The sequence below is a fragment of the Homo sapiens genome, chromosome 15, assembly GCF_000001405.40.
Source record: "Homo sapiens chromosome 15, GRCh38.p14 Primary Assembly".
In the NCBI taxonomy this organism is placed as follows: domain Eukaryota; kingdom Metazoa; phylum Chordata; class Mammalia; order Primates; family Hominidae; genus Homo; species Homo sapiens.
Genome location: NC_000015.10, coordinates 59253644 through 59278524, shown reverse-complemented (window position 1 = coordinate 59278524; position 24881 = coordinate 59253644). Strand labels below are relative to the sequence as shown.

Below are 24881 nucleotides of genomic sequence, written 5' to 3'. Positions count from 1 at the left end.
AATATTTTTGGTTGATTTTTCATCATTTGCAGTGGAAGTAAATGTTTCAGTCCAGTAAAATGGCAGAAATGTAAAAGGTGGAATTCCAGAATGTCTTAAAATTAAAATAGGTAGTCCCTTTCCTGTTATTACTCACGGAGACAGAAAAATCCCATTACAAAACAAGCTCAGTTTGACTGCAGGCCAGAGTGTTACCCATTGTCCATTGTTCACCGTAAGAATATGGTTTATCTGCTTCTCAGGGTGATCTACTTATAACACTGGGGGCATTCTAGTCCCAGGTTTTCTGAAATCAAATCTGCTGTCCTGTTGTGCTCATGGGCCAACTAAATGGCTCAGACATGATACTATCTTACTGTCCACACAGCGTCTTCCAATCACCTTTCAAACCTGGACTTAGCATAGAATCCAGTCTTAGGACAGTCCTGGCTTTTGACTTTGAGAGCCTGGTCAGTGCCCAACAGCAACCCAGAAAATGCTCAATTATATTGATGTTTCTATTTATTTTAAGATTTTACTAACACATGCATATGATTAAAAAATGTAAACTGTACAGAAAGGTCTAAAATGGAAAATAAAGGTTACATTTCTCCTAAAACTCCAGGTCTTCTCCCCAAAAGTACCAACAAAACAATTATAGCAAACATGCCGTTTTAAAAAAATTACACAAATTCAGTAATTCCATATGTATTCCACATATTGACTACTCTTTCAATGAAACAGTATCTTCAAGCTCTTTCCATATCAGGACATGCAAGTTCCTTTAATGACTGCAAAGTACTCCTTTGCAGAGCATTCTGTATTCTAATCAGTCCCTTAATGATGCTTCTGTTTCCCTATTACAAACTTTGCTACAGTGAACAACCTTGCACATGTATCTTTTGCAGGTGTATCTTGAGGTAGTTTCCTAAAAAATACAGTTGCTGGCTCAAAGAGGATGAGGCTTTGATGTTTTTTTTTTTTTTTTTTTTTTTTTGTGGGGGGATGGAGTCTTGCTCTGTTGCCAGGCTGGAGTGCAGTGGCCCGATCTCAGCTCACTGCAACCTCCGCCTCCTGGGTTCAAGCAATTCTCCTGCCTCAGCCTCCCGAGTAGCCGGGACTACAAGCTCATGCCACCATGCCCAGCTAAATTTTGTATTTTTAGTAGAAACAGGGTTTCACTATGTTGGCTGGGATGGTCTTGATCTCTTGAGCTTGTGATCCGCCCACCTTGGCCTCCCAAAGTTCTGGAATTACAGGTATGAGCCACCGCGCCTGGCCCAGACTTTGATTTTTATTTAGTTAACTATGTTTATATATTGGTCTGTGTGTCTAAAATTTCAATACCGATTTCTAAATTGCTACCTAAAAATACTGTGCAGTTTACTCTTTGTAGAAGTTTGTAAGAGTATTGATGGTCACCTCCTCCCCACTGCCCTGTACGGGGTGGGGGACCTTGTTGTATTTACACAACACACTTAATTGTCTCCCTTTTCTGGGCATTTGAAGGCATTTGAAGATAGTGGTTACCAAGTATATGGGTAACTCCTCCTTTCTCCCAGATGCATCAAAGAACAGTGCTCCCTGGGACACTAATGAAGTGTTTGCAGAACCGCTGCCGCGTGGGGCCAGGCCTACCCTGGGGCTGTCTCCTGGGCAATGAAGGTGGACTTTCAGGAGAGAATAATCCTTCCTGTGTATGCTGACTCACCTTTGCTCTTCCTGGTCCCCACCCTGGTAAACAGACACCAGTCAGTGAGGTTCCACCTTTGAAAAAATCAGTCAGGGAATCACCCATCTGAGGTTCCCAGCCTCAAGGCCGAGTTCTTCCTGTGTGTGAGGGACTCTGGTGTTTGGGTTCCACCTCTTAAATGTTAGCAACAAACCAGGCTATTATGTGGATAGGGGCGTACCCTACTTTCCAGAACTTGCACATGAATCAACTGCTTTTTAATAAACTACGTCATCCTTAGAAACGGAATGTGGATCTGAGAGTGTCTGCACTCAATCTCTATCTAATGGAAATTTCTCCGTCATAATTTGTAGGAAGTGTCAGGGATAAGAGTAACTTTTCATTATTGTTATTATTACGTTCATGTCGTAGCTGGCACGCCCGCCACTGCCCTCCTCCCTTTGTACAGTGTGCTGCGCTCACCAGGAGCTGCTGTAAAATGCAATACCTTGCTGAGTATCCACCTGTTTAAAATGGTACCATTTTTAGTGGGGGGAGCAAAAGGGAATTACTCAAAAATGAAGCTCGCCTGAGAGTCATGAAGTAGTAGCCCAATAAACAATGCCTTTGCCCTCTGAAGAGAATGGCTGCCCTCACACTGATGAGGAACCATCTCTGCTGCCCCTCTCCCAGCACACATGGCAGCCAAACCTGCCCCTGCCTCTCAGCAGGGGTAGAGGAAGAAATGAGGGGCAAAACGGGTGCGAAGGGTTAGTTGCCCCAGAGCCCTATTGCATATTCTCACAATTCTAGGGCGGTAGTTTGTGTCTTAGAACAACTTTCAGCCTCTGCTCCCTAGAGCGTAGGATAGTGCGTGGTAACAATGCCCCACCACACCGCCCATGTAACTCCTGGCATTCAGCGGCTGTGTGCAGAGGCTGTGTGCCTCTGGACAAGTCACACTAGTAGCAAATTCTGTTGTCCCCTACCCAGCAACAGAAAATGGTTTTTGTTTCACTGTGGGGAACTTTTCAGCTTCCCTGGCTGGGCTGAGGGTCTGCACATCCATGTTTGGTTTCCAGCTTTGCTGATAACCATATCACCCTCTGCTAAAGCTTCCCAGCTTTCATTGATCCACCTTGTCCTTGACGATCTGGGCAGGTCAGGTTCTCCCAAAGGCTCTGAGTTGCTCCCACCTCCAGGTTCTTTACTCTCTCCCTTTGCCTCATCTGGGTGGGTTTTTAGGGGAGTGGGGAGAATAAATGCATAGTGAGGAGTGGTCACTAAAGACAGAAGTTACCATTAGAAAACCTTGGGCAGTTTACAGTTTTTTCAGCAGTAAAATAGAGATAGTAATACATAGTATGGGGGGATGGTTGTGAAGGTTGAATGAGTTCACATATGTAACTATAATTGCCTGGCAGAGGGAGGGAGAGACAGGGAAGGGAGACAGGGAGGGAGGGCGGAAGAGAGAGAGGGAGAGGGAGAGAGAGATACAGAAACTGATATGTGACCTATTGGATATAAAAAACGTATCAAATCAAAAATAACTTTGGTGTTTTAGTCTCTAATGCTAAGAGGAGGTGGTCATGAATAAAAATTGTATGTCTTTTTAATGATACATTTGGTTTTGGAGACAGTCTGTCATTCCATTGTCATGTTAAACTTAACGGGTAGAAATATCCAATAAGTCAGTCATTCATGTATGAGACTGTGAAGAAACCACGTTTGGATGCGTCCATAGTCATCGAATCTTCGGTTCACATCTTGGCTTTTGCTACTTACTAGTCGGGAGATCTCAGTTTCCTCCTATATGGCATGGGAATGTTAACCCCTCTCTCCTAGGATTGCTTGCAGTAGTAAGTAGAACACCCTCCACAAATCAAATAACTAATTCCTTTGCATATTGTAACCACTGTCACCTTGTTATATAGACAGCAGACTGGAAAATGAGTCCTCTTTGAGCATTAGAGACTGGGGCTAGGAATCTTCAGTATCGAGTGATACTTGGAACTATGAGAATCAATGAACTCTACCGTGAGTGCTTTTCTGCTAGGAAATAACTACCATGAGAAAAAGGAGGAAACAGCCTCTGAGGTGGGGCAGTCAGGAATGTGTCTCTGTGCAGTGAGACAGAGAAAGACCAATGGGTTTGATACTGAGACAAACTTGGGTTACGCTAGGAAGGCAGTTTCTTCGGATCAATACAAACATACGCACCATGACACAGAGCTTCTCTGTTTCTTGTCCTTTATAGAAGTTGAATAAGTACTTATTAACAGCCCTTGTGTTTTATTCAACTCTGCTTCCATTTTTAGATGTCTATGGGGGTTAAAAACCAACCAACCAATCTGCAGGTTGGTTACTCTGGGACCCTAGTTTTCTGTGCAGAGTAACCGTGGGTGCCCAGAAAGCTGGAAAAGGTGGGGAGGTGAGGAGAGGAGGAATCACTGGGAATTATCTGGCTGGAAGTAGACCATGGGCATTCAATGGAAATCTAGTGAGTCATGCTGTGGCCAGTGCTTTTTTCTCTTTCTGCTTTGCCACAAGAGGAAGAAGGAGTGGTGAGGTCTGAGGTAATTTTGTAGAATTGATGCTGTATGTGGTTCTGAGAATGCCAGATATAGAGAGTTTCCTTCTGCAAGACAGCATGGGTGGCAGGCCTTCCAGAATCCCTTTCCAGAGCAGGAGCCCATGACACTGTACACTTTTCCTGTGGTAGCTCCTTCTTGGCTGATTTTAAAAGATGGCTTTTCCCAGAGCTTCTTAGAACTTGCTCTTAGCAAAGGATCTGTGTTTCCCATCGAAAAAAAAGTAAACCATTTAATAAATTTTTAAAATAAAATTTGGAATGGCTTCCATCTTGTTTCTTGTCATCTTCTCCTCTCAAAAAGCCTCCTTTTCCCTTTTTTCATCCTAGTTTTGATGTCTGAGCAGTTGGCCTTTCTAGATACCCTTATTTAGAATTTTTCTCTTCTTCATTCGAAGTCCCCCGAGCAGTGAGCAGGGAGGGGGCAGGGGCGAGTCTCACCCAGTGCAGTGCCCACTGCACTTACCCACTGGCGACACTCCCAGTAGAATGCAAGCATTTGAAGGTAAGGGAGGATCTTCCAATATTGTCATGTAATATTTGCCATTACTTCATATTTATTAGCTTTTTTGCTGATAAGTGTAGATTATAATGAATGTCCTTCCTCCTCTGGTCTCCTCCGGCATAGATTATAATGAATGTCCTTCCTCCTCTGGTCTCCTCCGGCAAATTCTAAATATCTTAGACCTACTTCAAATGGCTCCTTTTCTGGGAAGTCATTTCTTCTGCCTCTCCCAGGACAAAGTGGCCTAACCTCCACTCCTGGAACACCCATTTTGTGTGTGTTTATGTTGACTGTTATTGACGCATGAATCACTTTATTCCATCATTATCTAGGTGTCCTTCAAGGGACTTTGAACTGCCCAAGTGCTCAGCTCCCCAAGTGCTCATGAGTCACTTTGTTCCATCATTATCTAGGTGTCTTCATAGGACTTTAAGCTCCCCAAGTGTGCCATAAGAACTTGTCACGTAGCTGAACACATGGGGGACCCCACTACAGAAATGCCAAATGAAAGGAAGCCCTGCAGCCCACAGAGTGTTCAGAGGCCGCCCCTGGTGTGAAGCTGAAAAATCCCAGACGTAGATGAGGGCCACAGCTTCATCTACCCAAGGGGGCCATGCGGGGATGAGGCCTTCCCCTCCTGGGCATGTTCCGTGATCTCGTTTCGTCTGTCCTGTCCACATCCTCGTTATTGGAGCAGTGATCAGTCATAAAAATGTAGCCTATCTTTTGAATATGGAAAGCCAGTATTACACGTATGACAGTGATAAGTTTATGAAGGGAAAGTAATTTAGATGACTTGAGAAATTATGACCGTGTGACATAGCCTTTGTGTGATACATATTCTTTCCATTTCTGGATTCTGTCATGTAGTTTGCAAAACAAGACTAGAAAGTTTCTATGTCGTTGCTTATTTTCACCGACAAATTCAACACAACAGTATGGTTGAAGGATAGTCTCATCCGAGACTGTCAACCGTGTGTTGTGCTGTATTCCTGACACTGTTTAGCACTTCACACATATTATTTTATTTAATCCTTACAGCAGCGTTGTGAAATGGGTCTGTCTCCCATTTTACAAATGAGAAAAGAGAAGTCACTTTGTGTCACTTCAGGGACACATGAGCTTAGGTAGCTTTTCCCCACTTAACTTAGTCTGTAGGTAGCAAAGCTGGAACTTGAATCCTCATCTTATTGATTGCAGAATCTTTCTCTGCACTGCTCTTTCTGCTACATTTTATTTTAAGAATATTTGGGAAATTAACAGCATTTTGTCTTTGTTACTACAGGGGAAAACAAACTATCCTAGTAATTGTATGTTTTATGTTCCCAGGGAAGCAAAGGTGTCTACCAGTACCACTGGCAAAGCCACAATGTCAAGCACAGTGGTGTGGACGACATGGTGCTACTGTCCAAGATCACAGAGAACTCCATCGTGGAGAATCTGAAGAAGAGATACATGGATGACTACATTTTTGTATCCTTTATTGGCTGCTTTGGACATTTCTAAGTGATATTACAGTGTCCACAGTTAAATTGTGGCTTTATGCTGGGTGCAGTGGCTCACGTGTGTAATCCCAGCACTTTGGAAGGCTAAGGCAGGAGTTCCAGACCATCCTGGCAACACAGGGAGACCCCATCTCTATTATAAAAAATAAAAATAAAAACTGAACTTGTGGCTTTATTCCTGGCTTGAGAAGAGCTATCTGAAAGTCCGAACAGATGCTGTGTGCTCACATTGTTTTCACCGTTTCAGAATGAGGTTTTGTATGTTTATATCACTTGGTTCAGGCTGTGCAAAGGGCAAAGATGATGCCCGGTTATTCTCCTGGCATTTCACAAAGTAAAGATGCAGCCAGTATTCATCTACTTTAATCTATAATATCGTCCCTTTGACATGCTCTAGTCATGCACGTGGTATCTGAAACCTCTGCTCTTCCTAGAGGAAGTCCTGGTTTGCAAAGAGTTCTATCAATAATGCATCCTGACTGCAAAGCAGAGACATTTGAGTCTGCACTTAAAAGACTTAAAAATGTTGCCAGTTTTTCTGCATTTTAATGTTTACTAAAGGAAATGTGAGAAGTGAAGATGGACTATTGAAAATGCTTGACGTTCTTCAGTTGTTCTTTATGTTTCAATTTTAGCTTGCCGGATGCCATTTTTTATGGGGCTTTAAAAAATGCAGAATGGAAATTTGATTCAAATATGGGTTGACTTCATTATCAACAGGGAACTGTGATATTTGCTTAAGTTCTATAGGAATTTTGTTTGATGCAACTATGTAAAGATATCCTGGTGGAACTATTGTGAGAGTTAGTCATGGACATGCAAAACTCTGTGTCAAATCTATATAATAGTACCAAAAAGTTTAACTTTGATGCCAATAGTGCCTTCTGAAAGTATGGTATCATGGATGACTTATTAAAAAGTGGAGTCTTTGCTTCTGATGTAATATACATCTTAGATTTTTACCCAAAAAGCTTGGGGAAGAATAGTTTTCACATCAGTGGCTTATTATGATTACTTAAACTGGTTTTTTGACTATTAGCTAAAAGCACGGGAACCTTTGCAGTAATAACTTTTGCAGCGGCTGCCTATCCCATCACTGGTAAGTCGTGGGGGGTCGGGTTCAACTTATCAGGTATTTAACAAACAATACTGTTAAATAATTAACAGCATTATTCCAAGGCATTTGGACCATTCTGACCAGTACTCTGCTGTTTCTTATTTACTATAAGGGAATTTTACCAATATCTGTAGTTAAACCTCTGAACCTCTGTTTTCAAGGATTAACAGATATAGTTGGATTTATTGGCTACATTATAATTGCATCATTTAAAACATTTATTTTCTTTTTATAGCACTTTGGGAGGCAGAGGCGGGTGGATCACTTGAGGTCAGGAGTTTGAGACCAGGCTGGCCAACATGGTGAAACCCTACCTCTACTAAAAATGCAAAATTAGCGGGGTATGGTGGCATATGCCTTGTAATCCCAGTTACAAGGCATAACTTGTAACTTGGGAGGTTGAGGCAGGAGAATTGCTTAAGTTTGGGAGGCAGAGATTGCAGCAAGCCAAAATCGCACCACTGCACTTCAGCCTGGGTGACAGAGCAAGACTCTGTCTCCAAAAAAAAAAAGTGAATTTATTGTATTTTTAAATGACAAATAGTAATTGTATATAGTTGTGGGATATAATGTGATTTTTTTTTCTTTTTTCTTTTCTTTTTTTTTTTTTTTTTAAGACAGGGTCTCCCTCTGTCACCCAGGCTGGAGTGCAGTGGCACGATCCCAGCTCACTGCAACCTCCGCCTCCCCGGCTCAGGTGATCTTCCCACCTCAGCCTCCCAAGTAGCTGGACTACAGGCAGACACCACGATGCCTGGCTGATTTTTTGTAGAGGTAGGGTTTCACCATGTTGCCCAGGCTGGTCTCAAACTCTTGAGCTCAAGCAACCCACCTGCCTCGGCCTTCCAAAGTGCTAGGACTACACGTATGAGCCACTGCGCCTGGCAATGTGATGTTTTAATATGTATATACATTTTGGAATAATAAAATCAAGCTAATTAACATATCCATCACTTCACATACTTATTGTGTGTGGTGCAAACATTTAAAATCTATACTCCACAATTTTGAAATATACATTACGTTATTATTTACTTATATAACTTCTGGATCAGGGTGGTGACCTATGGCTGACAGACAAAATCTTACTTACCACCATTTTTTGGACAGCAGTTTTGTTGGAACACAGCCATGCTCATTTGTTTAGTTATTGTTTAGGGTTGTTTTCACACTATGGTGGCAGAGCTAAGTAGTTGTAACAGACTCTCTGCAAAGTCTCAAATATTTACTTTCTGGCCCTTTGCAGAAAAAAATTTGCTGACTTCTGCTCCAGATACCTGTGCAGGGCTTCCTTTTTTTTTTTTGAGATGGAGTCTTGCTCTCTCGCCAGGCTGAAGTGCAGTTGGCGAAATCTTGGCTCACTGCAACCTTCGCCTCCCAGATTCACTCCTTCCTCAGCCTCCCGAGTAGCTGGGACTACAGGTGTGCACCACCACGCCCAGCTAATTTTTGTATTTTTAGTAGAGGTGGGGTTTCATTCACCATGTTGGCCGGGATGGTCTCAATCTCTTCACCTCATGATCTGTCCACCTCAGCCTCCCAAAGTGCTGGGATTACAGGCGTGAGCCACTGCGCCCAGCAGCTTCATTTAATTGAATTGTACAAAAACAGTTATGTTCAGTTGCAGGTTTTTATTTTATTTGGTCAAAATACTGAAATATGCTTACTTTATCCGGACTTAACACCGTCAAAAAATGTTAATCACTTTTACGTGCAGCACCCACAGCACATGAAAACTGGCAGTTAATTGATTAGAAGGAGCTGGGTGGCAGGATGTGGATCTGGACTGTCTGGCTTCAAACCTTGCTCTGCATAGATTTGGTGACCGAAACGTTTTGTGACCTCTGTGCCTTGCTTTCCGTACCTGTAAAATGGGAGTAATAATAAAATCTCCCACATAAGGCTGTTGTAGGGTGAAACCAAATAAAGAATGCAGCAAGTAAACAGTAAGTATGAGTCATTATTACCATGCAGGTGTGTAAGTGCTTCCCATATTTCCGAGTTATTTTCCAAAAATTCCACTGTAAACTTGTTTATTGGAAATTAAAATGCATTTTGCCACAGAAACCGTTATAAATGGAGTATTGACAAGCCCATAGAAGTCTTCATTTCCGCTGAATGTAGTAGTTGTACAAATTATATTTTGAAATGTTCTTGGAATGTGGGCTGGACTTACTGCATTATAAAGATGGAAATACGGTTTTTTGGTAAGCTGAGTATAAAAACAAACAAATGATGTCCGTAGTCAGTCCTTCATAACTCCAGGCGGCCTCACTCCTCCCAATCACGATTGTTTACTCCCAAAACACCAGAAGCAGGGACTATGTCTTATATATCTTCTTCAAAAAGCAGCATATAAAAACCCTTTAGAGCAATGTAGGTTCATTTAACATGGCTCATACCATGCAGTGAAGCAAAAAAAAAAAAAAAAAAAAATACCAAAGTCACCCAGAACCCATCACCAAAGGTTAGTTCTTATTAATCTCTTGGTGTAGAGCTTTCAGTTTAACCACATATGGCCATGCATATATGTGTGCTTTCTTGTTAATTTTAACAAAAATGGCATCATCCTGCCTCATGTATTTCTTGGTTTTCTGCATAATTTTTGGCATGGTGCATTGTATTAAGTATTCATTGACAATTTGTTGACTGTTAAGACTTGCTTTTTAAATTCAGACAACAGAATTTTTAAATGACTCACACAGAGAGGGCTGTTTATGCGCCTTTGAATTAATGCCTTTGAATCGATGACTGACTAATCGTGTGTTCTACCAAGGAAATGAGTTACTTGACCACTAATGACTTTATGTTTTAGAAATCTCTACCCACTGAATATATGGGAAGCCCAGCATAAATGTGCTTTCTATCATTAGCACAGAGTAGCTTTCAGCTTTGAGGGAGCTTGATGGATGTTTGTGAAATAATACAGGGGCTCTGCTGCAAGTCTTCCTCTGCTAAGTGGTAAAAGCATCCTTTAACACTTCAATGTTAAGGGAATATTATAATAGAATGGCATTACTGTAAGTAAGAGTTGGGTTTTTTCCTCTCCTATGTTTAATTGTTAAGACGAGAAGAGACTTGATTTCACATTGAGTTATAAAATTGCTCACTTTATCCCTTCTATATCTAATTCCTGCACATTGTCTTGTGTTGAAAGTCAGCATTTGGGGCGATCGATTGTTAATGCATTCAGGCTGAATGCACATTTCTTCTACATTAGGAAAAAAAAATCCACTTAGAAAATGCTGACATCGTTTACCAATAAAACTCCCTATTTTTGAGTTATTTGTCCTATGACAAGGTTTAATTTGCCATCTGTTTGTCATCAATGTTGCCACACTTTTTACAATTACATTGTAAGATCTATGAGGAAAACATTACAGTGTTGTCTATTGTGCATAGGGAGAGAGCACTTCTGACCACTTGGCCGACGAAAAGAGTTCCTGCGCAAAGCACTCTGTGCTCATTCGGTCCAACTTTCTCCAAACTTGTTTTTACTCAAAGACCACACTCAGGTGTGTTTGGCATTTTTAATCCTTGAATTAGGAGTCCAGATTTTCGTGCCAGACCCACTAGATTTCAAAGCAGCGTAGTTGTTCCGAGTGAGGTCTGGCCCTTGGCATCCAGTTCACTGGAGGGGCAGCATGCTATATAGCAAGACAGATGCCGGGCTGGAGCCAAAGCTTCGAGTTCCAGGCCACCCACTCTCCACGTGACTCTGGGGAAGTCAACTCACCTCCCTGTGCCACCTCAGGGATGAACCCAAGGAAGTCCACTCGACCAGCGTAGGTGGTTTTGGGAAATTCACTGACTATTCAAATAGATTTTAACCGGCTGGGCACAGTGGCTCATGCCTGTAATCCCAGCACTTTGGGAGGCTGAGGCAGGTGGATCATGAGGTCAGGAGATTGAGACCATCTTGGCCAACATGGTGAAAACCCCGTCTCTACTATAAATACAAAAATTAGCCGGGCGTAGTGGCGCATGCCTGTAGTCCCGGCTACTCGGGAGGCTGAGGCAGGAGAATTGCTTGAACCCGGGAGGCGGAGGTTGCAGTGAGCCGAGATTGCACCACTGCACTCCGGCCTGGTGACAGAGCAAGACTCCACCTCAAAAAAAAAAAAAAAAAAAAAAAAAGATTTTAAAAGTTCAACTCTTAGCATTGCCTAATAAGACTATTAAAAACAAACATTTGAGGCTGGGCACGGTGGCTCACGCCTGTAATCCTAGCACTTTGGGAGGCCAAGGCGGGCGGATCACAAGGTCAGGAGATCGAGATCATCCTGGCTAACAAGGTGAAACTCCGTCTCTACTAAAAATGTAAAAAATTAGCCGGGCGTGGTGGCGGGTGCCTGTAGTCCCAGCTACTCCGCAGGCTGAGGCAGGAGAATGGTGTGAACCTGGGAGGCGGAGCTTGCAATGAGCCAATATCACACCACTGCACTCCATCCGGGTGACAGACTGAGACTCCGTCTCAAAAAAAAAAAAAAAAAGAACAGCAAAACAAAAAACAAAATTTGAAAGTTGTACTGCCATCACATTTCATAAAAGAAAATATTTTTACACCAAAAACGTAGGAAGGACATAATCTAAGAATAAAGGACAGTTTCTTTATTTTGAATAAATTAAGCTTTATGAAAAATTCAGTGCATTGTTTGTTTTTTTGTCATTCTTGCTGCAGGTCAATGAAAACTGATAGATCCACGGGCAGGCATTTGGGAACCCATCAGTTAAAGATATCTTGGGTTTCTTCTGTCTCCCAGAGTCTTTTAAATAATTGGCATTTTTTTCCTTCTGTTTTTTGGTATCATAGCTTCATATCTTTATGCAGTTTGAAAATTAACCTTAGGCCACACCTTCACCACCAAGGATTATGTGGGTAAAGACAATGATCCGAACGGCTTTTCCCAGAGGCACACCTGAATTATGCAACAGGAGTGGGAGTGAGCATTGTTGGAATTACCTGGAGTTCCCAAAGCAGCAGGAGAGCACAGGTGTCCGGAAAATAGCTAAGGTCTCTGCAGACATAGCAAGGTGGAAAAGGTGAGAATTGTTTAGATAAACAATTATTCCAAACTCTCACCGGAAATAACTACGATATGTTTATTTTCTTTAAATCAATTAAATTCTCCTTAGTTTTTCTGTAGAAACAGCCATTTTATTTTTTGAGACTTTTTTTTAAATTTTTTATTTTATTTTATTTGCTCTGTCACCTAAGCTGGAGAGCAATGGTGTGATCACAGTTCGCTGCAGCCTTGCCTTCCCAGGCCTAAGTGATCCTCCCACCTCAGCCTCCCAAGTAGCTGGGACTACATGTGAAGACCACCATGCCTGGCAATTTTTTTTTTTTTTTTTTTTTTTTTTAAGGAGATGGGGTCTCAGTATATTGCCCAGGCTGGTCTCGAACTCCTGGACTCAAGCAATCATCCCACTTGTCCTCCCACAGTGTTGTGATTATAGCACCCAACCAGAAACAGCCATTTTAAACCAAACTTTATTTTTTAGGTGTCTTCCCAAATAGTATTATCCCCAAGAACCCTACTGATAAATTTAGGGAGCAGGTACAAATTTCCCTCTTCATTTCATTCTGACCTGAGTCATTGATTCACGATTGGCCTAGAATAGTCCAAAATAAATTTTTGTTTTTGTTTTTTTTCCTGAATATCTCCTTAACCAGGCCCTAATCAGAATTTATGTAATCTACTTGGTGAAAAATCAAGACTTAATGAGATATCTCTTTATATAGCAAATTAACAGTTTTTAAAATGTTGGTCACTTTAGGAGCTCATATGCAACTGAATTCATATTTATTGAGTAACCAAGGGATTGGTGGGGAGGTGGTACCTTTGTCTGTTGTCCTGAGGGCAGCCCTTTATTCTTTGTGTGCAGTGATCAATTTGTCTAGGACAAGGCGGCAGTAACCACATTCCCTTTACAACTAAGGGAACAAGTACCCTCCTCCATGGAAGGAGCTTATTTGCCTGTTTGTTTTTCCCTGGGGATAGATGTAGACATGAAATAAACATCTTCCTCTTCTGAAGTGAAGATGGTTCTAGCAGTGCTGTGTTTCTTTAAAATTGGGTTTACCATAAGAATCATTATTACTTCATTCATTAATTGTTTGTTTGTTTTCTTTTTTGGGAGCCAGGGTCTGGCTCTGTTGCCCAGGCTGGAGTGCAGTGGCATGATCATGGCTCACTGCAACCTCGACCTGCTTGGCTTAAGCAATCCTCCCACCTCAGCAGGAACTACAGGCACGTACCAACCAACATGCTTGGCTAATTTTAAAAAAATTTTTTGTAGAGATGAGGTCTCACTAGATTGCCCAGGCTGGTTTCGAACTCCTGAGCTCAAGGGGTCCACCCACCTTATTCTCCCGAAGTGCTAGGACTACAGGCTTGAGCCACCACAACCTGCTCGTTCATTCAATTTTGATTAGGTCCTTACCAATTAGAAAAGATACTTTAAAAATCCACCTAAGGGAATTAGGTTTTCGAGTATGCAAAGCATCAGAGAATCTAAGTTAGAAGAGGCTGCCAATTTAGGGTTGCCAGATAAAATTCAGGACTGCTGGTTAAGTTTGAATTTCAGATAAACAACAAGTTACTTTTTACTATAAGTATGTACCAAATATTACTGGGGAACATACTTATTTGGAACATACTTAAAAAAATTCTTGTTTGAATGACTTTCCAATTTAACTAGTTTTCTGTGTTTTTATTTGCTAAATCTGGCTACCAGTAATAATATTAACGCAACAGTACCTGCTTATCTTAGACATTCTAGCTTTTGATTAAGAGTATGGGCGTGGGATCCAGACTGCCTGAGTTTGAATCCTAGCTCTGCCACTTATAGTGTGTGACCTTAAGCAACTTTTAAAAATTTCTCCGTGCCTCAGTTTCCCTGTACAGGCTGAGTATCCTTAATCTGAAAATTCCAAATTTGAAATGCTGCAAAGTTTGAAATGTTTTGATAATCGACACGATGCTCTTCAGAGCATTTCGATTTTGGATTTTTGGGTTAGGGATGCTGAACTGGTGGTGAGTGTAATGCAAACGTTCCAAAATATGAAAAAAAGCACAATCTGCAAAAAGCATTTTGGATAAGGGACAGTCAACCTGAAGTCAAATAGGTTGTTATTTGGTGCTAAGATGTAAATGTATATGTGTTTAATTAATTTTATGACGCCTTATTGAGTCTTGGCTACGGCATCATGGACGTCTTACCTGCTTGATAATTTTAACAGTACATGTATGTGTCCTAAATTTTCACTAATCTATCATTGGCCTCATCTGACTTTGGCAATTGGGAATACATTTTCCATGGCCCTTCTTCCATAACTCTTCAGTAATTTTCAGTTATGGCTCAATCACTGTCTCATCAGCATTTTCTCTTAGCACTATGGCCTGCCCTTAGACCAGAACTGGGCACTGCTGAAGTGGTCTTAAAACCACTTCATCTTCCCTAATAGCAATTCATGTTCCACCCCTTCAAGTATGAAGATCTTTCTGGTCAGTGACAAAGAGAAGTAAAAGCATAATCATGTCATTCTGCATGCTTACCTTTGTATATGCACAATAATCTAAAATATTATCTTTAAAAAAATTATATGATTATATGATCCATCTCACATTGATTTGTATTAAGTAGTAATAACACTGTGTCTAATAGAAACTAACAAACCATTGCCTCTAAAACAGCACCTGGCATGTTAAGCCACACTTGAAACATGCATCATGATTTGAGATATTACATGATAAAACATGTGCCTTAGAGGATATTAATTAAGGAAAAGCCATTACTATGTGCTGTGCTCACAGTGCTGAGTGTTCTATAATTATTTTATTTAAGTAAAATGAGACTATCAGGTAGGTCCTATTTTATCTCCATCAGCACCAGCCAATCTGACTGAACACCTGGGCTGGTTTTCATGGTACACAGGTCTTAATATGTAAATATAAAAATGTTCTCCTGTGGGAGGAAATCTCATAGTTTTAAGTCTTTATCTAAAACTATATATTTGTAAATAACTTTCTGTTTAACAATTTATTTGTAAAATTTCTAAACACCTTGAAATTGATCATTGAAAGAAACAGTTTTGAATGTCTCTGTGTGTTGTTTAGATTTTTTTTCTCCATGAAGTCAAGAAGTTATATTTATTCTCTCCATGAAGTCAAGAAGTTATATATATTCTATTTATTTTGTTCACTGTCATATCCCGAGCATCTAAAACAGTGCCTGGCATGTTAAGTAAGCACCCAATTCAAATTAGTTGATTGTTGAATGAATAATTGGAAATATTTTTCATGTGATCATAAGTCTTCATTTATTTTCATATATTAAAATGTGTAAAATTTTTAAGGCCCAGCATAAGCATAGCCTCTCTGAGAGGCCATCTTGTATTCCCCAAGCAGAAATAATACCTTCTTTCCCTAAACCTGATGTAGGTGGGTTTATAATTTTCTTCTCTGAAAACTACCTTATTTATGATTATTACTGTTATTTTGAGACAAGGTCTCTTTCTGTCACCCAGGCTGGAATGCGGTGACGTGATCTTGGCTTGCTGTAACCTCTGATCTGGGCTCACTGCAACCTCCGACTCCTGGCCTCAAGCAATCCTCCCGCCTCAGCCTGCCCAGTAGCTGGGACTGCAGGCACACGCCCCCATGCCTGGCTAATGTTTTTGTTTTTGTTTTTGTTTTTTTAGAGATGGAGTTTTGCTATGTTGCCCAGGCCGGCCTCAAACTCCTGGCCTAAAGCGATCCACCCCCTTGGCCTTCTAACATGCTGGGAGTACAGACAGGCATGAGCCACTGCACCTGGCCAGAAAATTACCTCATTGATGCCTTTTAATTCCTCTAAGCTTCTGGAGAACAGAGCTGTTAGTTCATCTTGTATCCCTGTATTTGTTAAATAAGTAGATGAATATTTTTTTTTATTTTTTTTTTGGAGACAAGAGTCTCACTATGTTGCCCAGGCTGGAGTGCAGTGACATGATCTTGGCTCACTGCAACCTCCGCCTCATGGGTTCAGACGATTCTCCTGCCTCAGCCTCCTGAGTACAGTAGCAGGGACTACAGGCGTGTGCCACCACAGCTGGCTAATTTTTGTATTTTTAGTAGAGACGGAGTTTCACCATGTCGGCCAGGCTAGTCTCGAGCTCCTGACCTCAAATGATCTCCCCACCTCAGCCTCCCAAAGTGCTGGGATTACAGGCATGAGCCATCACGCCCGGCTGATGAATATGTTTTTAGTGTACCTAACGGATACGAAAGTTCAAAGGAAAAAATGCATATCATTTGAGGGGAGGACTGATAACTGCTTTTTTCACTCTTTGGCCATTTTTCCTTTGTTTTCTTTTCTCCTTGCTGTACGTGTCACCCATCTTGAAAGAATGTGCTTTAGTTCATTTAAAATAATGATTTCATTTTGTAGCACCTTGGTAATTTATTACTCTTCCTTAGGAGGAATAAAGCCTGTGCTAGTTGGATGATTGCTTTCGTCTTTACTTGTAATCTTTTAGAAAACAAGTACACAAACTTTCCACTTGGACAGTCATTGTGAATTCTTGATAACATCTGGTTACTTAATTTGAAAAATGTGTAGCTATGAATATTAATGATGGACCTTAACTGAGTTAAATTCAGACATATATAGGATCTGTATTAATCTCAGTCAACCCTTTCAAGCAGATGCCATATTTTGGGGAAAAGGAAATTGAAATGTACCAAGGAGCGGTAAGTTACGTGTCACATAAATTACTGCCTTATTTAGGGCTTTTATGATGCAGACATGGTTTTTCTTGAAGTTAGCAGTACTTTTGCACTTTTCTATTATGAATTTTTTATTGGAGAAACTTGAGTGACATTGTTTGATTTTTAATGATCTGCTTTTTATTTTTATTTTTTAATTTTTATTATTTTATTTTTATTTTATTATTATTATTTTTTTTGAGACAGAATTTTGCTCTTGTTGCCCAGGCTGGGCATGATCTCCGCTCACTGCAACCTCCGCCTTCCGGGTTCAAACAATTCTCCTGCCTCAGCCTCCCAAGTAGCTGAGATTACAGGCATGCACCACCACACCTGGCTAATTTTGTATTTTTAGTAGAGACGGTATTTCACCATGTTGGTCAGGCTAGTCTTGAACGCCTGACCTCAGGTGATCCACCTGCCTCAGCCTCCCAAAGTGCTGGTGAGCCACCACGCCTGGCCAATGATCTGCTTTTTAGAGCAGAGCTCAAAAAAGCTTAGGACTGTCTAATATTTGAGCCTTATTTGCATAGAAAATTAGTTAAATAGGATGTAGGACCTACAGCTTAGGGATCTTCCTGCTTCCATATATGCCACAAAAATCTAAGGAATAAAAATCAGTTATGGGTAAAAAAATAGAGCAATGGGTACTGATTTGCAGAATCAGAACCATTGTTAAACTATGACTATGACTTCAACATGAAAAATGAATCTTGTATTACTTCATTTATTAATTTGACCCTGGTTCCTATTCATAATCAGCTCCATAGCCATTTCAGTTGTATAGTAAAAATGGAAGCTGTAATTCTCCTTAATATATTTTATTCTGTGGTTCATCACTTCCCCAGGCCTCCCCATCTCTGCATCTTTTTCCTTTCCTTTTCCTTCCCACTGCAGCAGAAGCACAAGAGTATTCATTAATCCTGACCCCTAAAAAGCAAACAAAAGAGAGCCCACACAAATTCATCAGTTGAAGTGGAAGGCAATTTACCCAGAGCAAGAGCCCACCCCATTGTTGCCAGATGAATGGTGCTGGTAGCTGGAGCCGAAGGAGGCTGCCACGCGAAAGACCTTTGATAATGCTGCCTTTATGGGAGCCCAGCACAAGGGAAACACTGTCAGCAGAGGCTGGCCCTGCCCTAGTGCCCTGATCAGCAGGCGCACAGAGCTGGCTTGGCGTCCTCAATGACAGCCAAGGCGCTGTAGATGGTAGTGCTGTGCATGTGTGTTTCTCTCCAGTTTTCTGAAAAGGGTTGCTGTATACACATCCCTTTTAGACCATTTATCTTTTGAAGTGTTCTCTTTAAGGAAATGTAGAATTTCTAAAAAATATGCTCAATTTTACTGCTAATAGTAACAGATTATTGTAAAACTGGTATTTACTGAGTGCCATGTACTATGTTATACTTGCAGCAATAATAAAACAGCCCTGGATGCTGGCTGTGTCATAACATCTATCTCCATTTCACAGATGAGGAAACTGAGGCTCAGAGAGATGAAGTACTAAAATCTACTGAGTGATGGAGCTAGGAGTTGAAGTCAGGTCCTAATGACTTTGAGAGTCTCAGGGGAGGGAAGAATCAGGTAAAGGAAATGCCCACTCTATAGTTTTGTCACAGATAGCTGAGAGGTTCAGTAAGACCACAGATAGGAAACGAGTTTGGAAAATATAGAGTGACATGCAAAGGTCAAGTATGACAGTTCAGCAGCGTTGAAGCCTTACTGGGCAATGACTTTCCCCCACTGCCCATAGCTTGCTTTTCACTCCATTTCCTTCCATTTTCCATCTTCGTGTCTTTCTTACAGTCCTCTACTTTCTCATTTTCAAAGAGTCATTAATGTTGTTTGTGCACTTGAGACCAGAAACCCAAAATGAGGGTAACTGAGAGGGGTGCTAAGGGCTAAGTTTTGGTGACACTCTCACCTAAGTGAGAACCTGACCTAAAGAGGGGAATTTTTAAACAAAATTATGAGAGTCCATTGTTTTGGACTGATCTCATGCAGTAGCCCCTAACAGACCAGACCAAACCAAACCAACATGGAATCACTCATGTTACATGTGACATAATCGAAACTTTAAAGAAACAGACCAGGAGATGCCAGCAGGAGGAGGTCCGCTCTACTCTAACCCTTACAAAAAGTAACCTAGAGTCTTTGTTCCAATCTTACAAACCCTACTGTTCTGTTATTTCTCAATGATATTTGAGAACAAGTAAGTACATTTTTACAATGGTGACAGAGTGACATCAGTGCCTAAAGTTTTGGTCAGTGTCTCAAAATTGAGAGGATGACCAAAAGAGGGAAATTGGACTGGGCATGGTGGCTCATGCCTATAATCCCAGCACATTGGGAAGCCAAGGTGGGAGGATCACTGGAGCCCAGGAGTTCAAGACCAGCCTGGGCAACATGGTGAGACCCTGTCTCTATTTAAAAACAAAAACAAAAAAAAACAAGAGAGGGGAATTGTTAAATTAAGTTTAGCCTAAAGCTGCCTCCTTACATATTTTAAGTTGGATCTAAATGTTTTCTTCTTTTTTTTTTTTCTTTTGAAACAAAGTCTCACTCTGTCACCCATGCTGAAGCGCAGTGCTGTGATCTTGGCTCACAGGAACCTCCACCTCCAGGACTCAAGCGATCCCCCGACCGCAGCTTCCCAAGCAAATAGCTGGGACTACAGGCACACACCACCATGTCCAGCTAATTTTGTTTCTTTTTTGTAGAGAGGAGGTCTCACTATGTTGCCCAGGTTGATCTGGAACTGCTGGGTTCGAGTGATCCTCTGGCCTTGCCTCAGAAAGTGCTGGGATTACAGGCATTAGCCATCACACCCAGCGCTAAATGTTTCTCTGTGCACAGTGAACTGTAGCCTAACCAGATGTATAAACAAACTATAACCTACTTTTCTGCCAGTCACTGAGTTTTGGCCAATCAAAGGTGGCCAACTATTCAAACTGTGTTCAAATAAGGCAAATTCTAAACTAATCTGTAACTAATCTGGCTGTTTCTGTACCTCACTTCCATTTTCTAGATATATATTTTTTTGTTTGTTTGTTTTGTTTTGAGACGGAGTCTCGCTCTTCACCAGACTGGAGTGCAATACTGCAATCTCAGCTCACTGCAACCTCCACCTCCTGGATTCAAGCAATTCTCCTGCCTCAGCCTCCTGAGTAGCTGGGATTACAGGCATCTGCCAACACGCCTGGCTAATTTTTGTGTTTTTAGTAGATACTGGGTTTTGCCACGTTGGCCAGACTGGTCTCGGACTCCTGACCTCAAGTGATCCTCCCACCTCAGCCTCCCAAAGTGCTGAGATTACAGGCCTGAGCCAGGGCCAGCCCTCACTTCCATTTTCTGTATATCACTTTCCTTTTTCTGCCCAAAAATCTTATGGCATATGGCAGCACTGGAGGCTCTGTGAATCTATTCTTGTTCCAGGGCGGCCTTATTCACGAAGCATTCTTTGCTCAGTTAAACTCTGTTAAATTAAAATAATAATTATAATAATCCTGCACAATCTTATTGTGGACTAGAAGTCCATTTAAAACCATATCCTGAGGTCCTATCCAGGTATCCACTCCTAACCATAAGGTTAAGGCAGAGATCACATATTCTGGTTCCTGCATAGGGTTCTTTAGGTGACCAGTCCTAGGCATAGCTTGCAGCCCTCACTGGGTAGCTCCCCCTATGAGCCCCCTGCCTACAGCATGGGAAGAACACTGGGTATCGGATACAAAGCCCCCTCATCCTAACCCCTCCCCACCAAACTCTCATCTTCCAGAGCATGGCAGTGAGCAGCAACTTCTCAGCCAGGCCCCCTTTTCTACAGTAAGTCACTGCACAATGAAATGGATTAAGTAAATTAATCCAAAGATGGATTAAGTACGTTAAGCTTCACCTTTGTATATCACTCTGTCTTTTCAAATTGCTTTCCCATCCGTCATTTACACTGTGAGACTTGCAGCTTGGACGCTATTATTCCCACAATTGTAGCTCACTGCGTCCTCCAACTCCTGGACTCAAGCTGTCCTCCCACCTCAGCCTCCCAAGTAGCTAGGACTGCAGGCATGTGCTACCACACCCAGCTAATTAAATTTGTGTGTGTGTGTGGAGACTAGACTCCAAGTCCTAGGGTTAAACAACTCTTCTGCCTCAGCCTACCAAGTAGCTTGGAGTGATTACAGGCTAGGAGTGTTCTTTCTCCATATATACTCAACAAAGTATTTCTCTTTTTAGTAATTTTTGAGGTTGTGGTAAAGGTAGGTGTCAAGAAATTGTATAAAGCAGGGCTGAAGTCAGCCTGATAATTTATTAAGCATGGAAAATGTATTTAGTTTGATATTTGTGCATAGCTAAGATATCCCATAAGATGAAATCACAAACCCAGGAGAATATCTTAGCGTGGTAGGATTTTTTTTTCCAATAGAGATGAAACAAACTGGCCAAACTAGCTTATCCCTTTAAAGAACCACACCTTCTTGCCCTCTTCTTATGGAAAGATTTAAGTATTTTTTCTGATCCATAGATAATCTCACCTAATTCCCTCTGAGGCCCCAGAATCTACAACGTGGCCTCTTAGAAAAAATTATGTAAGAGTTTAGAATTCTGGTAGAAGTCAGATCTAGGTGTTTGGCAGGCCTCTCCAAAGACCTGTTGCCCAAGTGTCTACAGAAACATTTAGAAATGGACTGTCACCTGCAGAGGCGTGTATGGGTGGAAGGGTGGGGTGTTGGAGTGTCTAAAGACACGGGGCACATCCGGAAGGCTGAATCATGGATATGCCTACGGGAGACTGCTTCCAAATTCCGTCTTAATTTTGTGAGGGTGTAACCTTGATGACCTAGGAAGTTTTATGAATTCTTGTATCATGCAACCTTTAAGATGTAATGATAGGCATTGGAACTATAGTGCACGATTCGTTTCCAAATTCAGGAAAAGAAATTGAGTGTATTGCCTATCTGACCATGATTTTGTTTTTATTTTTAAATTTTTATTATTATTTATGTATTATTATTTTTTGCTTTTCTAGGCACAGTATGAAAACCCACCACATATCTATGCCCTTGCAGATAATATGTACAGAAACATGATCATTGACAGAGAGAACCAGTGCGTCATTATCAGGTATGAAGAAGATCCTTATCAGTGGGCGTGGAAGATATGAGACTATGCTGTGGTTATGGATTTCGGTCGATAAGCAGTGGTTTTGCAACAGCTACTGATGTCACAGCCTGGTTAATGTGTCTGAGTAGCAAGCAGGTTAGCTGCTTTATCTTGCTTTATTTATAACTCTATATAATAGAGCTCCATATCATAAAACTTTTGAGCTTCCATGGGATTGCAGTAAGTATAATAAACATGTTTTCACTGTTTAGTCAGATGAATTCCTTTTCTGTAGGTCCCTATTTTTTCATTCCCTTCATAATTTAGTAGTTCATGTTTGAACATTTTTGGTGAACTTTGTCATTTGCATTGAATTTGGGGGAAGATTACTGGTAATTGCCAGCATTAGGTGTCTGTAGCCACATTTCATAATCCCTCTAGTCTGACATGGCTCTGAATCCTGGCTGGGTTTAAGTCAAGCTTGTCCAACCTGTGGGCTGCAGGCCATGGGCCACATGCGGCCTAGGACAGCTTTCAGTGTGGCCCAAAGCAAATTCGTAAACTTTCTTAAAACATTATGAGATTTTTTTGCAATTTTTTTTAAGCTCTTCAGCTATCGTTTGTGTTAGTGTATTTTATGTGTGGCCCAAGACAATTCTTCTTCTTCCAGTGTGGCCCAGGGAAGCCAAAAGATTGGATACTCCTGCCTTAAGTGCTTTTAAAATTCTGCTTATTTACAAAAATTAGCTGGGCATGGTGGCGCACGCCTCTAATCCCAGATACTAGGGAGACTGAGGTGGGAGAATCGCTTGAGCCTGGGATGAGGAGGTTGCAGTGAGCTGAGATCGTGCCACTGTACTCCAGCCTGAGTGACAGAGTGAGACTCCATCTTGAAAAAAAATAATAAAATAAAATTCTGCTTACTAACTCCAGTTGGGGTGGCTCACACCTGTAAGCCGCAGAGTTTGAGACCAGCCTGGGCAACATGGCGAAACCCCATCTCTACAAAAAAATATAAAAATTAGCCAGGCGTCTGGTGTCATTTGTCTGTAGTCCCAGCTACTGAGGAGGCTGAGTGGGGAGGATCACTTGAGCCAGGGAAGTCAAGGCTGCATTGAGCTGAGATTGTGCCATTGCATTCCAGCCTGGGTAACAGAGCAAGACCCTGTCTCAAAAAAACCAAACCAAACCAAACCAAAAAAAAAGGCTTATACCTTAGTGGAGGCTGAGACAGGCAGATCACTTGAAGTCAGGAGTTCAAGACCAGCCTTGGCAACATGGGGAAACCCTGTCTCTACTAAAAATACAAAAATTAGCCAGGTGTGGTGGTACATGCCTGTAGTCCCAGATACTCAGGAGGCTGAGGCAGGAGAATCACTTGAACCCAGGAGGCGGAAGCTGCAGTGAGCCAAGATCACGCCACTGCAGTCCAGCCTGGGCGACAGACTGAGACTCCATATCAAGAAAAAAAAAAGCTCTGCTTACTATTGTGAATATTTTCAAACACTAGAAAGTATAAGCATCCATATTCTCATCACCTAGAATTTGACAGTTCACAATCTTATCATACGTATTTGTGTTCATCTTTTTTAGTTAATTTTTCTGAGACATTTTTGGGAAAAAAAAAACCTTTTATTGTGGATAATTACAAATATACACAAAATGAGAAAGAATAGTAGAATGTGTCCCTGTATATCTATTATCCATTTTGCACTGTTGTCAGTATATGGCCAATTCTGTTTTATTTGGTCCTCCCATTCTGTCCCACTTGATTACTTAAAGCAAATCTGGCAGGGCATGGCAGTAGATTCATTTCCAAGGTCAAGAAAAGAGTATATGTAATACTAGCACTTTGGGAAGCCAGGGGGCAGGAGGATCACTTGAGGCCAGGAATTGGAGATCAGCCCGGACAACATAGCAAACCCTGTCTCCATAAAAAAGTTTTTTTAATTAGCTGGGTGTGGTGGTGCACACCTGTAGCCCTAGCTACTAGGGAGGCTGAGGCAGGGAGATCGCTTGAGCTCAGGAGTTTGAGATTACAGTGAGCTGTGCTTGAACCACTGCACTCTAGCCAGGCGACAGAGATGGTGTTTTGTTTTGTTTTGTTTTTTTAATAAAGCAAACCCAAAGATCCCCTTTATTCCTCAATAATTAGTATGTGCCTCTAAGAAATCATTCTTATCACACCTTAAACAGGAAGAATTCTTTTATAGTATCTAATATCAGTATTCCAATTCCATGATTTTCCTATAAATTCTTTTTTATAGTTGGTTTATTTTTATTTAGGATCCAAACAAGGCCTACACACCGCACCTGGTTGCTGTGTCTCTTAGGTGTCTCGGTCTTTAACAATTTTCCCTTCCCCTTTTTGTTTTCTTGGCTTTGTTAAAAAAAAAAAAAAAAGGTTGTTTGTCCTGTAGATCTTACTATACAGTCTGGCATTGCCTAATTGTATCCTATGATGTTGCTTAAGTATTCCATTGTCCCCTACATTTTCTGTAAATTAATAGTTATATCTAAAAACTTCATTAGACGCCGGGAGTGGTGGTTCACACCTGTGATCCCAGCACTCTTGGGTGGGCAGATTACGAGGTCAGGAGATCAAGACCATCCTGGCCAACATGGTGAAACCCCATCTCTACTAAAATACAAAAAATTAGC

General features: G+C 41.4%; 1 protein-coding gene across 1 annotated transcript in view; it reads left to right on the top strand.

Annotated features, from left to right (window-relative positions):
- Positions 1 to 24881, top strand: part of MYO1E (myosin IE) — a 240438-nt gene that overhangs the window by 94347 nt on the left and 121210 nt on the right. Inside the window, exons 2-4 of the mRNA NM_004998.4 lie at positions 6076 to 6219; positions 17016 to 17105; positions 22147 to 22241. Of these exons, the coding sequence (NP_004989.2) occupies positions 6076 to 6219; positions 17016 to 17105; positions 22147 to 22241 (329 nt within the window). The remainder of the gene's footprint in view (positions 1 to 6075; positions 6220 to 17015; positions 17106 to 22146; positions 22242 to 24881) is intronic.